Source organism: Homo sapiens, chromosome 4 (genome assembly GCF_000001405.40).
Source record: "Homo sapiens chromosome 4, GRCh38.p14 Primary Assembly".
Lineage (NCBI taxonomy): Eukaryota > Metazoa > Chordata > Mammalia > Primates > Hominidae > Homo > Homo sapiens.
Window position 1 is genome coordinate 150,182,119 of NC_000004.12, and position 14,506 is coordinate 150,196,624.

At 39.4% G+C, this 14,506-nt stretch overlaps 1 protein-coding gene across 13 annotated transcripts in view; it reads left to right on the forward strand.

Moving 5' to 3' along the window:
- Window positions 1-14,506, forward strand: part of DCLK2 (doublecortin like kinase 2) — a 178,994-nt gene that overhangs the window by 103,674 nt on the left and 60,814 nt on the right. For all 13 annotated transcript variants that reach the window (XR_007096380.1, NR_036614.2, XM_017007832.3 and 10 more), the window contains exon 3: window positions 11,020-11,122. Coding sequence is in view for 11 of the 13 variants with exons in the window: in XM_017007832.3 (XP_016863321.1) it covers window positions 11,020-11,122 (103 nt within the window). In the remaining 2 variants the exon portion in view is untranslated. The remainder of the gene's footprint in view (window positions 1-11,019; window positions 11,123-14,506) is intronic.

The following is a 14,506-nucleotide window of genomic DNA, read 5'->3' on the forward strand; positions in this document are numbered from 1 at the left end:
TTCGCTGCAGCCTTGACCTCCCAGGCTCAAGTTATCCTCCCACCTCTGCCTCTCAGTAGCTGGGACCACAGTTGTGCATCACCACGCCCAGCTAATTTTTTGATTTTCTGTAGAAACAAAGTATCACTATGTTGCCCAGGCTGGTCTTGAGCTCCCGGCCTCAAGCGATCCTCTCACCTCAGCCTCCTAAAGTGATGGAATTACAGACATGAACCACTCTACCTGGCCTCCCAAATCATTTGAAGCAAAACTTTTATCCTAGGGGTAGAACTGTTTAAGAAAAATGGAGTGGGAAAGAGTCATGTCTGGAATAACGTTAGTTACAATGTAGTTAATTTGTTGATTTTATAGCCTTCAAGCATCTAGATGGGCAGTTATTTAAAATAAGTGTCTCATGCCAGCAATAGAAATAATGATAATGGCTCAGGCAGATCTTAGGTCATCGTTTATTGCATGTTAACGTTGTGGTATGTTCTTTACATCTTTAAAAAGTTGTATTTCTGCTTGCTTACATGATAGAAAACTTATATGTAGTAGAATATTGTTTGGGGGGTTTAAAATGAAATGCAGCTCCCTTTTGGCATTTTATGACTTGTAACATGACCATTTCTTAGGGAAAAAAATGAAGGCTATCAATATAGTTTTATTAAAAGCCTATAGAGTATTTTTAGTTTCAAAGATAAGCCATTTACTGGACTTCCTTTCTGAGTTCCTTCAAATCCTTTTTAGAAGCAATGTAGAAATATTTTGTTTTTTTAACTACTCTTAGATAGAGACAGCCTTTTAGCTGAATTCTGATAATGAAAGCATTTAATTTCAGCAGGAGGTAGGGATTTTTGTTCTCTCTCTCTCTCTTTCACACCACCAACCGCCCCCACCACCTGCCAACACAGTTAAAGAAAATCCATAAAAAATGCTGATCTATTCTATACTCCTGATATCTATCTTCCCATTACGTCTTCTATAAAATGTGGTCCTTGTTCAAAAGATGGACATTTCAAGAGGGCTAGGATTTTCCCTTTACTCTGTTTAGATAAGTAGATGCCAGTTTAAACCAGTTTCTCACTGAGATCCAGTGATGTTCCTTTTGAATTTTTATCAGATCTTAGAAAATGTCAATAAAATAGCCGTGGAAAATATCTCAAGAGACCCTCATTTAATGCAATCTGAAGTCTCTGAATAGCACCAAATGTGGAGTGTAATTGCAAATTGCAGTGCTTTAAATCCCTTCTACCAAATTGTTGCAGTAGCAGATTTCACAAGTAGTTTTTCTCAAATCATCCTGAAATAATAATAAAAGAGATTTAATTCTTGAAAGAGCTTATATGATGTAAGATCAGTTTTTAGAGTTATTTTAAGGTGTCCAGGGCCAAAATTTGATCAACCAAGTATTTGCTATATCTTTTATAAGGAGCTACATAGGATTTGACTGGTCTACCCAAACAATTTATAGGTTATCTTGGGATAGAAAACTAACATCATAAATTTGGGAACCAGGACTACTCTGCATTATAATGAGTTGATAGGAATCCATAGAGTATGAGATGGACCCTCTAGAGAGGGCTACCTGGAAAAAGTAGGACCCAAGGCATTTCTTTTGATTTCTTTTTTTCTTTTTCTTTTTTTTTTTTTGGAGACAGAGTCTCACTCTATTTCCCAGGCTAGAGTGCAGTGGCGCAATCTTGGTTCACCACAGCCTCCACTTCCTGGCTCAAATGGTCCTTTAGTCTCAGCCCCCCAAGTAGCTGGGACCACAGGCATGAGCCACCACACCTGGCTCATTTTTCTATTTTTTTGTAGTGATGGAGTTTCTCCATGTTGCCCAGGCTGGTCTCGAACTCCTGACCCCAAGTGATCTGCCTGCCTTGGCCTCCCTAAGTGCTGGGATTACAGGCGTGAGCCACCACACCCAGCCTCAAGGCATTTCAATCATTATGCATTCAACAGAAATGTATTAAGCAAAGCCTATATGCTAGGTGCTATGTAATGCTGGAATTATAGTGGTGAACAAGACTGCATGTATGGTGCTCAGTCTGGTGAGAGGTCCAGACACAAAACCAGGCAGTTAACCTCAATGATAACATCTATCTTGAGTGAGTTAGAGTATTGAGGAAACATCTGGATTTGGAGGGGCTTTGAAGATTTCTTTGAGGACATGCAAAGCTAAATCTTGAACAGAAAGAAATCGATGGACATTACTATGTAGCCACTTAAAATAGTGTTTCTTTTACTCTCTCTCAGAAAAATGCATTTCAACTTTTCTAAAAGCAGTCTCCTAAAATATAAATAATAGCTCTTTTAAGAAACTAAAATATTTAGACTTTAGAATCTTAGAGCAGGAAGGGGTCTTAGAGAAATCCAACTTGCTTTGACACCAACTCCTGTGTACTTCTGGAAAGAGTAAGAAACACAAGATTTCCAAAGAGTGTCAATGGGTCAGGAAATGGGTGTCAGTCTTGTGTTTCTTCTTCTTCTTCTTCTTCTTTTTTTTTTTTTTTTTTGAGACGGAGTCTCACTCTGTCGCCCAGGCTGGAGTGCAGTAGCGCGATCTCGGCTCACTGCAAGCTCGACCTCCTGGGTTCACGCCATTCTCCTGTCTTAGCCTCCCGAGTAGCTGGGACTACAGACACCCGCCACCATGCCCGGCTAATTTTTTGTATTTTTAGTAGAGACGGGGTTTCACCATATTAGCCAGGATGGTCTCAATCTCCTGACCTCATGATCCGCCCGCCTCAGCCTCCCAAAGTGCTGGGATTACAGGCGTGAGCCTCCGTGCCCGGCCAGTCTTATGTTTCTTACTCTTAATTCCTAACACACCCCACTCGGGTTCAGAATGTAAGTGTCCAGAGAAGATGATCTCTGTGTGTCCTCTTTTTTTTGTTTTGAGGAAAGGGTTTATTATGCTACTAATATATGCATTGTATTAGTTCCTTCTCACACTGCTATGAAGAAATACCTGAGACTGGGTGATTCATAAAGGAAAGAGGTTTAATTGACTCACGGTTCAGCATGGCTGGGGAGGCCTCAGGAAACTTACAATCATGCCAAAGGGGAAGAAAACATGTCCTTCATATGGTCCAGGAAGGAGAAGAATGAGCCAAGGTGGGGAAAGCCCCTTATAAAACCATCAGATCTTGAGAGAACTCACTCCCTATCACAAGAAGAGCACAGGGGGACCACCCCCATGATCTAATTACCTCCCACGAGGTTTCTCCTCCAACGCGTGGGGATTACAGTTTGGATTACAATTCAAGATGAGATTTGGGTGGGGACACAGAGCCAGATCATATCATGCATAGTATTTTTTTTTTTTTAATCAGACCTCGCCTGGCATGGTGGCTCATGCCTGTAATGGGAGGCCAATGCGGGCGGATCACCTGAGGTCAGGAGTTCGAGACCAGCCTGACCAACATGGCAAAACCCCACCTCTACTAAAAGTACAAGAATTAGCCGGACGTGGTGGTGGGTGCCTGTAATCCCAACTACTCGGGAGGCTGAGGCAGAAGAATCGCTTGAACCGGGGAGGTGGAGGTTGCAGTGAGCTGAGATAGCGTCATTGTACTCCAGCCTGGGCGACAGAGTGAGATTTCATCTCAAAAAAAAAAAAAAATTAATTAATAAATCAGACCTCAAGCCTCTTTCACACGTTTTTGTATCTTTTAATAGATACCAAATAGGGAAAGAAAAAGAGTGGTTGTGGCAAGCTGTTACGAGCTAGCACTGAAATTATGGCTGGCACCTATTCACCCTAACCTGATTAATCTGTCTAGTGAAGGATAGAAAAATTACTTTTTAAAGTCGCCCTCATTCATTTGGAAAACTTAGATGGACTCCTGTAGATACGTTATTTTTCACTTGGATGTTTCCCCATTAGATCCTAACTGATTGCTTTAATTGTGCACCTTAGCAGAAATATTACTTTCCCCTCGTTTGTATAGCTTGCTTTCACAGGCCACGTGGCATCCATTATTCCTGATGAGCTTCTGGAAGAGTTAATTCTTCTTTGCATTGTAGAAAGAATTTAGAAGCAAACAGTAAGAGGCCTTCTAAACTGATACACTTTTCCTCACCCTTGTTAAGAATGATTCTGAGATGTTATTCATACTGATTTTTTTTTTTCCTCAGACGGATTTAGCGACCTGGTCCATACCTCAGTGTTCAACTCGTTTAAAAAATAAATGGTAAAAGGAACATACAGATTACCAGAGTTAAAGAACACAGAATATGTTGTAAAACATAGAAAAATTATCTTAGTGTCCAAACAGATATTTTAAAGGTACTAAGTATTTTATGGGTTCTGTTTTTATCAAGTTGTGTTCCTTTATTCCCATAATAGTCAGGGTGTTCTTCTATAACATTCACCCTATTGTAACATTTTAAACTGAAATTATTAGTTGTCTTGTCCATTTTCATCACTAGACTGTGTGCTTCTTGTCTTTTATTTATGCCTGGCATATTATAGTAGGCACTTGATTAATGTTAGAATGAATGAATGTGCAGTAGTACATTCCTTGGTGAGAGTTACTTTACTTTATATCAGATCCTGGGCATTTTATCAGATGTTCTACATTAAAAAGTATCAACTGAATTTGGGCCACTACTAGGAACAGTTAAATACGTAGTCCCAGGCTGGGCACAGTGTCTCACATGTGTAATACCAGCACTTTGAGAGGCCAGAGTGAGAGGATCACCTGAGCCCAGGAGGTTGAGGCTGCAGTGAGCTGTGATCGTGCCACTGCACTCCAGCCTGGGCAACAGAGTGACTCTATCTCAAAATGTGTGTGTGTGTGTGTGTGTGTGTGTGTGTGTGTAGTCTCATATACTTGTGAAATTTAAGCATGGGCAAATAATGATTGCATTAGACTAAAGAGGTCTATTGTTAAATATGCAAATGTAATTTTAGCATAAAAATAAGATCGATGTGCTTACAATTCTGTTTATTTACATTATCTAAAAAATGTTCGTATTTTGCATGCAGCTCACATATATAGATATATACCAAACCATTGCTTTGCTTTAAGTCAAATCTTTCTTATCCATTTTATGGTTATTTATTTTTGATTTTTGAGACAGAGTCTTGCTGTGTCACCCAGAGTATAGTGCAGTGGTATGATCATAGCTACTGCAGCCTCAAACTGCTTGGCTCATGCAGTCTTCCTGCCTTGGCCTCCCAAAGCACTGGGATTAAAGACATGAGCCACTGCACCCAGCCCATTTTATGACTATTCTAGGGAGCTGCTGGTAGACTGTGTTCTTTAATGATCTTTCCACAGGGCTTTTGTACATTTCTTTCCCTCTGCCTGGAACACTTTCCCTTACAGATATTCATGTGACTTGCTTCCAGTATTTTGTTCAAATGTCACCTTTGCAATGAAGCCTTTCCTGACCACCCTCTTTAGTACTGCAGCACCCATCCTCTGCATTCACTACTCCCCTTCTGTGCTCTTTATCTTCTGTTGTGACATAAATTTACCTGTGCACACACTTCCTTAATGAGGTCAATAATTTTTGTCTCTTTTTTCTTCCTTTACTGATGTATCCTGTAGCACCTAGAATAGTGCCTGGCACATAATGAGTGCTCAGTAAAAACACTTTAAATGGGTGGAGGCTGAAGTTGTTTAACATCTTGTGAGATATGTCCCTGTCCCGAGTATACCTGCGACATGTTTTGTTTCTCAGTTGTACTTTTTTTTTTTTTTTGTGACAGAGTCTTGCTCTGTCGCTAGGCTGGAGTGCAGTGGTGCGATCTCGGCTCACTGCAACCTCTGCCTCCCCGGTTCAAGCGATTCCCCCTGCTTCAGCCTCCCGAGTAACTGGGACTACAGGTGCGTGCCACCACACCCAGCTAATTTTTATACTTTTAGTAGAGACGGGGTTTCGCCATGTTGGCTAGGATGGTCTTGAGCTCTTGACCTCATGATCCGCACCCCTTGGCCTCCCAAAGTGTTGGGATTGCACGCGTGAGCCACTGCTTCTGGCATCAGTTATATCTTTTATTCACTTTATAGCTGTCATTTCTTTGCCAGTAGCAGTGACTGAATTAAGGCATATCAGAACCTAGTTGAAAAATTGTGCCCAGGTGTGGCGGCTAACATTTGTCATCCCAACACTTTGAGAGGCTGAGGCAGGTAGATTGCCTGAGCCCAGGAGTTCAAGACCAGCCTGGGCAACATAGTGAAACCTGGCCTCTAACAAAAAATACAAAAATTAACCAAGTGTGGTGCCGCATGCCTGTAGTCCCTGGAAGGCTGAGGTGTGAGAATCCCTTGAGCCTGGGAGGTGGAAGTTGCAGTGAGCCAAGATCGCAACACTGCACTCCAGCCAAGGCAACAGAAAGAGAAAAAGAAAATTGTATAATTTGGTTAACTGCTTAACCAAATAGGCATTCAGTGACTAGAACCTGAATCAGAGGGAGGCAGACATCTTATGTACACTATGTTTGGGAATCCAAACTTAAACTGACAGGTGAAATCATTAAAAGGTCAATTAAGAAGATCCAAGGGCCGGGCATGGTGGCTCACGCCTGTAATCCCAACACTATGGGAGGCTGAGGCAGGCGGATCACGAGGTCAGGAGATCGAGACCATCCTGGCTAACATGGTGAAGCCCCATCTCTACTAAAAATACAAAAAAATAAGCTGGGCATGGTGGCAGTGGGCGCCTGTAATCCCAGCTACTCGGGAGGCTGAGGCAGGAGAATGGCGTGAACCTGGGAGGCAGAGCTTGCAGTGAGCCTAGATCATGCCACTGCACTCCAGCCTGGGTGACAGAGCGAGACTCTGTCTCAAAAAAAAAAAAAAAAAAAGCCAAATAAGCTTCTATGGAAAAAAAAAGTCACCTTTTTGATACATTATGTTCCTGAGACTTGTTAAATGCTTCTATTCCAGATAGTACCTTGATTATTTACTGTTATTTATGCTAATCAAATGCCAACTAATTTAGTACCAGGTGAAATATTTCCTTGTAATAAAATCAATTAAAAATTAACTGATTTTTTTCAGATTCATTCAGATATGTTTTTTAAAATTCAGTTATTTCTTCATGCTAAATTAATTGCAAAAAATGCAATTTCCCTTTTTAAAAAAAATTATATTAAACTGCAGTAGATACATTTTTATTTGGCCAAAAAAAATAAAAATCAGTTCAATTCCATTTAAGAACCATTTATTGAATATATGGATGTGAAAAATAAAATAGTTAGAAATATAAGGTAGACATAACTGACTATAAAACAAGACATTAATGACTACAAATAAGGTAAAATGAACAAGAACTGTAAGTAGAAAGAGGACCTGTGGGATTTCAGATGAGAAAGCCGCATGCTGTCAACTGGAAAGCAGAGATGCAAAAGTAGAGGACTTGCACCTAAATTGCTGGGTTCTCATTTGTTACCTGTGTCTGGGCAAGTTTCTCTCTTTATATCTGTTTTCTTGTTTATAAATGAAGGATGATAATAGTATAACCTCGTGGGATTGTTGTAGGGATTGAGATAATACATGCCGCCATATAGACAGAAAATTCAGAGAGGTTAATTGATGCCTAGACTTAGTAAGTCCTAAATGTAAGTGGTGGTGAGGGCAGTGGATAATGTAGCCGTTGTACCACTCACCTGGAAAAGTTACTCTGGTCTGAGAACTCAGTTCCAATAGGAGAAGCCCATGCAGAGCCACAGTTCATTTGGCAAACCTGTATCAAGCACCCGCTAAAGCCAGGAACTCTACTAGACCTGTGGGAATGATGAACAGGGAACACCCATGCCCACCTGGAGGTCAGGACACTAAAGGGTGGTCAGGCTGTGGGTGCCTGTAAATCCAGCATTTTGGGAAGCCAAGACAGGAGGATCACTTGAGCCCAGGAGTTGAGACTTGAACTCCTGGCAACTCAAACTTATGGGCATCATAGGGAGACCCTGTCTCAAAAAAAAAAAAAAAAAGGCCAAGTGTGGTGGCTGTGGTCCCAGCTACTCAGGAAACTGAGGCAGGAGGATCACTTGAGCCCAGGAGGTTGTGGAGGTTGTGGCTGCACAGTGAGCCGTGATCATGCTACTGCACCCTAGCCTGGGCAACAGAGTTGAGACCCTGGATAGATATAGATAGATAGATGGATAGATGGATAGTTAGATAGATAGATAGATAGATAGATAGATAGATAGATAGATAGATAGATAGATAGATAGATAGGCAGACAGACAGACAGACGGACGGATAGATGTCAGAAAGGCCTGGGAAACAGTGTGAGGAAAGGCATGGTGGTAAGAATCAGCTCTGAAGCTAAAAATAACCCAGATGTCCTAAACTGATGAAAAAATGAACAAAATATTATATATCCATACCATGGACTATTCAGCTATAGAAGGAATGAACTGCTGATAAATGTTACAACATGGATGAACCTTAAAAACGTGCTAAGTAAAAGAAGCCAGTCATCAAATGCCACATATCTTATGGTTCCGTATACATGAAGTGTCCAGAACTGGCAAATCTGCAGAGCTAGAAAGTAGATTATGGGTGCCTGGGATGTGGAAAGGGGTTTATGGGGAGTGACTGCTAATGGGCATGGTGTTTCTTCTGGGGATGATGAAAATATTCAAAGTAAATTGCAGTGATAGTCGCACAACTCTTAATATACTAAAAAAAACATTGAATTGTGGACCTTAACTGGGTGAATTGTGTGGTCTGCGAATTACAGCTCAATAAACGCTTTTAAAAAAACAACAAAACACCAGCAGTTTGGGAGACCAAGGTGGGAGGATTGCTTGAGCCCAGGAGTTAGAGAGCAGCCTGGGCAACATAGGGAGACCCCATCTCTACCTACTTACCTACCTACCTACCTATCTACATAAATAAATAAATTAAGATTTAGCTAGGCATGGTGCTACACACCTATGGTCCCAGCTACTCAGTAGGTTGAGGTAGGAGGATCATTTAAGCCCAGAGGTTAAGGCTGCAGTGAGCTGAGACTGTGTCACTGCACTCCTGCCTGGGTGACAGAGTGAGACCCTGTCTCAAAAGGAACAAACAAAAAACCCATTAGCACTGTGTGGGCAGGCAACCCAAAGTCATCTTGACTTGGCTGTTGGGTGAACAGAAGACATGGCAAAGACAGGGTTGGGGGTCAGTTGAATGCACCCTTTGAAGGAGCATTATCTTGCCATAAAAGGTAGCCACTGAGGGCTGAGTGGTACGTGATCACCCAGTCATACCTGTGAGAGACAGTATACCGATACCCTTGCAAACAGAAATGACAGATTCCAGGGAGTGGTGGAAGATAGGTTAGCAAACCTGTTCCAGGGCCATGTCAGGAGTCCAGGTAAGAGAGAAGGAACCAAGGAATAGAAGTAGAGACGCTTGAAAACCATGTAAGAAGTAAAAAGGCCTAAATGTGAGCGGTTGGTGAGGAAAGGAGAAAGGATGACTCCCTGAATTCTAGCATGAGTGAAGGGGTGTGTGCTAACACCAACGGAGATAGAAGAGAACAGGAACAATTGAAAATACAGTTCTTAAAGGCCCTGGACACTGTAGCTAGAGCCGTTTCAGTGAGATACAGAAGCCACATCTTGCTTGAAGAGAATTGGAACAAACAGGCAGTCTCCATGCCTGTTTCTCTTACTGTCTGTGCAGTCAACTTCTTGGCATTGCAAAAAGGCACATCATTTGGGTCACTTAAATAATATGACCTGAGCCATCTACATTGTATCTAGTTCACTTTCTTCTCTCTGGAGCATTGTTTTCTAACTCTGTAGTGAGACCTCTTTTTTTCCCCAATGAAAAGCTAAATAGTGATTCGGAAAACTTAACGAATATTGAGATTTGTCAGCCTGTTCAAGTACTAGAGTGTTGTTTGTTTTTTCCTAACTTTGTTGGAAATGGATTACTTCTTAAGAAGAAAGCTTACCACATATCCCATTGAAAACTGGTGAAAATAAAGCCTATCTATGTTCAAAGTCCTAGAAGATGGTTCTTCTGGTCACCACTGGGATAAATGGATGAATGTGCTCCCTGGGATAGATCCAGGTTCTGTGGAACTGAAACTAATACAGTATGGAAGGGAGGCCCTTTTTGAAAAAAGAATGTGAAATTGGGCTGGGCATGGTGACTCACACCTGTAATCCCAGCACTTTAGGAGGCCGAGGCAGGCAGATCACGAGGTCAGGAGATCAAGACCATCCTGGCCAACATGGTGAAACCCTGTCTTTACTAAAAATATAAAAAATTAGCTGGGTGTGGTGGCATGCACCTGTAGTCCCAGCTACTTGGGAGGCTGAGACAGGAGAATCATTTGAACTTGGGAGATGGAGATTGCAGTGAGCCGAAATCGCACCACTGCACTCCAGCCTGGTGACAGAGCAAGATTGCGTCTCAAAAAAAAAAAAAAAAACAAGTGAAATTGAGACCACATATTTAGATATAGGGCATTAGAAGATCCCTGAAGCTTAAGCCTCATTAGCTTCATGGCAAATCTTCCCTTGATCTTGATAATGCTGGTGGTAGGGATGATGGGGGTGACTATTAACACATTGAGCACTCATGTGCAGACATTGTTCCAAGCAGTTTTTATATATTAATCCTCGAAACAACCCAAGGCACGGTAGCAGAGGTACAGAGAAGTCACACCCAAGGTCACACAGTGGGAAGCAGAGTTGTTAGGAGAGGGAAGAAGGGCAGTATGGAAAAGAATACTAAACTGAGAGCAGAGGCCTTCATGAATGTCAGCTTCACCACCCATCTGTGGGGAACCTGGGGGAAAAATCACGTACCTTTTTGCATGTACGTCCTTGACTTCACCTGTGAAAAAGGAATATTGATGCATGTCATGAATCCTTGACTCTGTTGTTCTGAGGTTGAGAGAATGTGTAAAAGTGCTTTGTGAAGGTAAAGTGCTTAGAAACGTAGTTATATTACACAGCTTTCTCTTCCACTTCAATACTTAAAATTCAGGCTTAAAAATTCATTTAGTTTTGCTTTTCATTTCACTTCTAATGTGTCTAATTTATTTCTTGGACATGATTTTTGTTCTCAGGTTACTTGTCTGCAAGACTTTTTTGGTGATGACGATGTTTTTATTGCATGTGGACCAGAAAAATTTCGTTATGCCCAAGATGACTTTGTCCTGGATCATAGTGGTAAGGCAATTCTTCAGCTAATTCATTTTTCCATCTTTGTAACCCCTGAAATGAAGGCTTGGGATTTAGCCACTCAGTTGGTGCATGTTAAGAAGTCTGACATGTTGAGGAAAGATAGCATTGGCAGTACAATTTTTGAACCAATGAAAATAAAGAATAACATGAAAGCATTTGCCTACTTATAAAAAAAGAAAGAAAGAAAAAGAAAAAGAATAACCCAATGCCTAATTCAAGTAGTTTTCACTTTTAGCAATTCAGTTCCCTCTCTTATTGCATTGTTTGCATTGTTTTGCCACTGAGATGTTCCATGCCTTCCTTCAGAATGGTGGTTGGCTGTGCCAACTTAAATGCATGGATAGTGTTGAACATGAAACAATTAGTCATCCATTTTTTGTGATGTGTATGCATAAGGAAATCTATATTAAAAAGAAATAGATGAAAGGATAATAACTATCAATGGTGATTATCTGAGGTGTCTTTCAACCTCACTGGGTTTTTTTTGGTAGCAACATTTTTTTTTTAATTGAGACAGTGTCTCCTTTTGTCTCCCAGCCTGGAGTGCAGTGGCACGATCACAGCTCACTGCAGCCTTGACTGTGCTGCTGGATTCAAGTAATCCTCCTGCCTCAGCCTCCTGAGTAGCTAGGATTAAAGGCATAAGTCACCATTCCTGGCTAATTTTTAAATTTTTTGTAGAGACAGGGTCTTGCTATGTTGCCCAGGCTAGTCTTGAATTCCTGGCCTCAAGTGATCCTCCCACCTCAGCCTCCCAAAGTGCTGGGACACACACACACACACACACACACACACACACACACACACACACACACACGTATACTTACTTTGTTTATATACAGTCATGTACCATGTAAGGATGCTTTGGTCAATGATGGGCTACATATATGACTGTAGTCCCATCAGGATTTTTACAATACCTTCTCGATGTTTAGATGCACAGGTCCTTACCGTTGTGTTACGGTTGCCTACAGTATTTGGTACAGTTACGTGCTATACAGGTTTGTAGCCCAGGAGCAATAGACTATACCATATAGTCTGGGTGAGTACTAGGCTACACCATGTAGATTTGTGTAAGTTTACACCATGATGTTCACACAATGAATAAATTGCCTAATAATGCACTTCTCGAATGTATCCTCATGGTTAAGTGACATATGACTATATTTAGAAAGAAAGCTATTTCTTTGGTGAGATGAAAAAATCCCCTTTTGCTAACTTTTGCCAATATATGGCATTTTCAAGTAGTATTTGGCAATAATAATCTCAACTATTTCATATGTTATTGGTCCTGGGAATACTGTTTTACCCTATTGTCTTAAATTGCTTTAAACCTGTTTACAGTAATAGTGATTATTTTAGCTGGTAGTAAAGTCAGCTTCCTCTTTAAATGAAGTAAAATTATACACACATCACATTTCAGAGGAGAGGGATCTTAGAGATACGATCCTCCTCTTTAATTTTATGAATGAGGAAAGCTGGCTTTTAAAAAGGTAGACAGTAAACCACTTCTAGTTGTAGTGTTTCTGACAGTCCAGGATTAGAGAACTGTACTACCAAACAAATACAGTGATACCTAGGCTTTTAAAATTTTGAGAGGATACATTCTGTGGTACCAAACTTCCTTGTGTCATTACTTCTTGTTGCACTGTGTCAGTCATTCATGAGCTTGGGGGTCATTCATCTACTCTTTTTGTTTTTCTGTTTTGTTTTTCATCTCTGCCAAATTTGATGGTTTCTATATTATATTCTGTTGGACTGGCCCTATTTCAGCCTGGTGACACCACTGGAAAGTCCTTAATTATAGATAATGTCCTGTTACGTTATCTGTGCTAGTGCTCTCCCTCATTCCTGTGTGGTTAAGGTTAAATAAAATAGGCATTTATATATATATTATATATAATATTATATATTATATACAATATTATATATTATATAAACAATATTATATATTATATACAATATTATATATTATATAAACAATATTATATATTATATATTATATTATATATTATATATTATATTATATATTATATTATATATTATATATTATATTATATATTATATTATATATTATATATATTATATAATATTATATATTATATATATTATATAATATTATATAATATATATATTATATAATATTATATATTATATATATTATATAATATTATATATTATATATATAATATATATTAGATATATTATATATTATATATATTATTATATAATATATATTATATTATATATCATCTGTACTTTACATCTTTCTTAAATTTAGCTTTAGTTTCATAATATTTCTTTGATGTCAGGTGTCATTTTGAAAGCTGAGCCACTGAAACTAAATATGTTCTGGTTTATAAAGTTAATATGTATAACAATAACATTTGTTGAGCCACTTACTTTGTATGTACAGGCATTGTACTCAGTGCTTCATGGGTATGTTGTACTTTGATCTAAGCTACTTGGATCGTTGGTAGTTTTTGTTGATGGTGAACAGGGCCTGCAATAGTTAGAAGTTGGTGAGAGCTATTGATTTATTCCTTCTTGATCTCGAGTTACTTAACCTGCAAAGTAGGGATAATAATGGCTATAAGGTTTTCTGAGGATCAAATGCATTATAATATAATATATGTCATGCAGTTGGGAGTGTGCCTGTCACATAGTAATATGCGTCCACTGCTATCTTTGTTGTTGTTAATAATAATATTACACCAACACCATTATGTGGTAAAATTTTACAATGATTTTACAATGAGCAAGTCTCAGACCTAATTCTGCCACAGATACGTTTATTAGGAGGCAAATTTTTTTTTAATCAGTTATTTAACTTGTATTGTAATCTTAATGAGGTCCCAACTCTCTGCTTTTAGGCTTCTAATAACATCTTGTGTTAAAGGCCCATTCAGAATGCATGGAATTCAGTTTACCTGATCTTAGTGAAGTAACTACATCCTCGATTAATCGATACAGGATTGGTTCCAATTCATAAACCTAGGATATAGTTCTGCAGTTCTAGGTTGTTGGCTCTTGATATTTACATATCCTGCTCATATAAAAGAGTAGCAATGCATTTAAGATGTTTCTAATAATCTACACACACCTTTCAACAGTCGGATACTTTTAACATCCACAATGCTAATTAAGCAAAAATTGCTCCCTTTGTGTAAGGTTTTGATTAGAATCTTTCAAATGCTAACTAGCCTCCCCTTGGGTGTATTTTCCTGGTTAGTGTACTTCACTTGTCAGTTTACTGCCCCTGGGGTATAGACTAAAATTAATCCACATTTTAAACTTCCTGCATAAATTGAAGTATTTTAGAGTAAACTACTACAGACAGTATGTTACCTAATTTAACTCTTATAACAA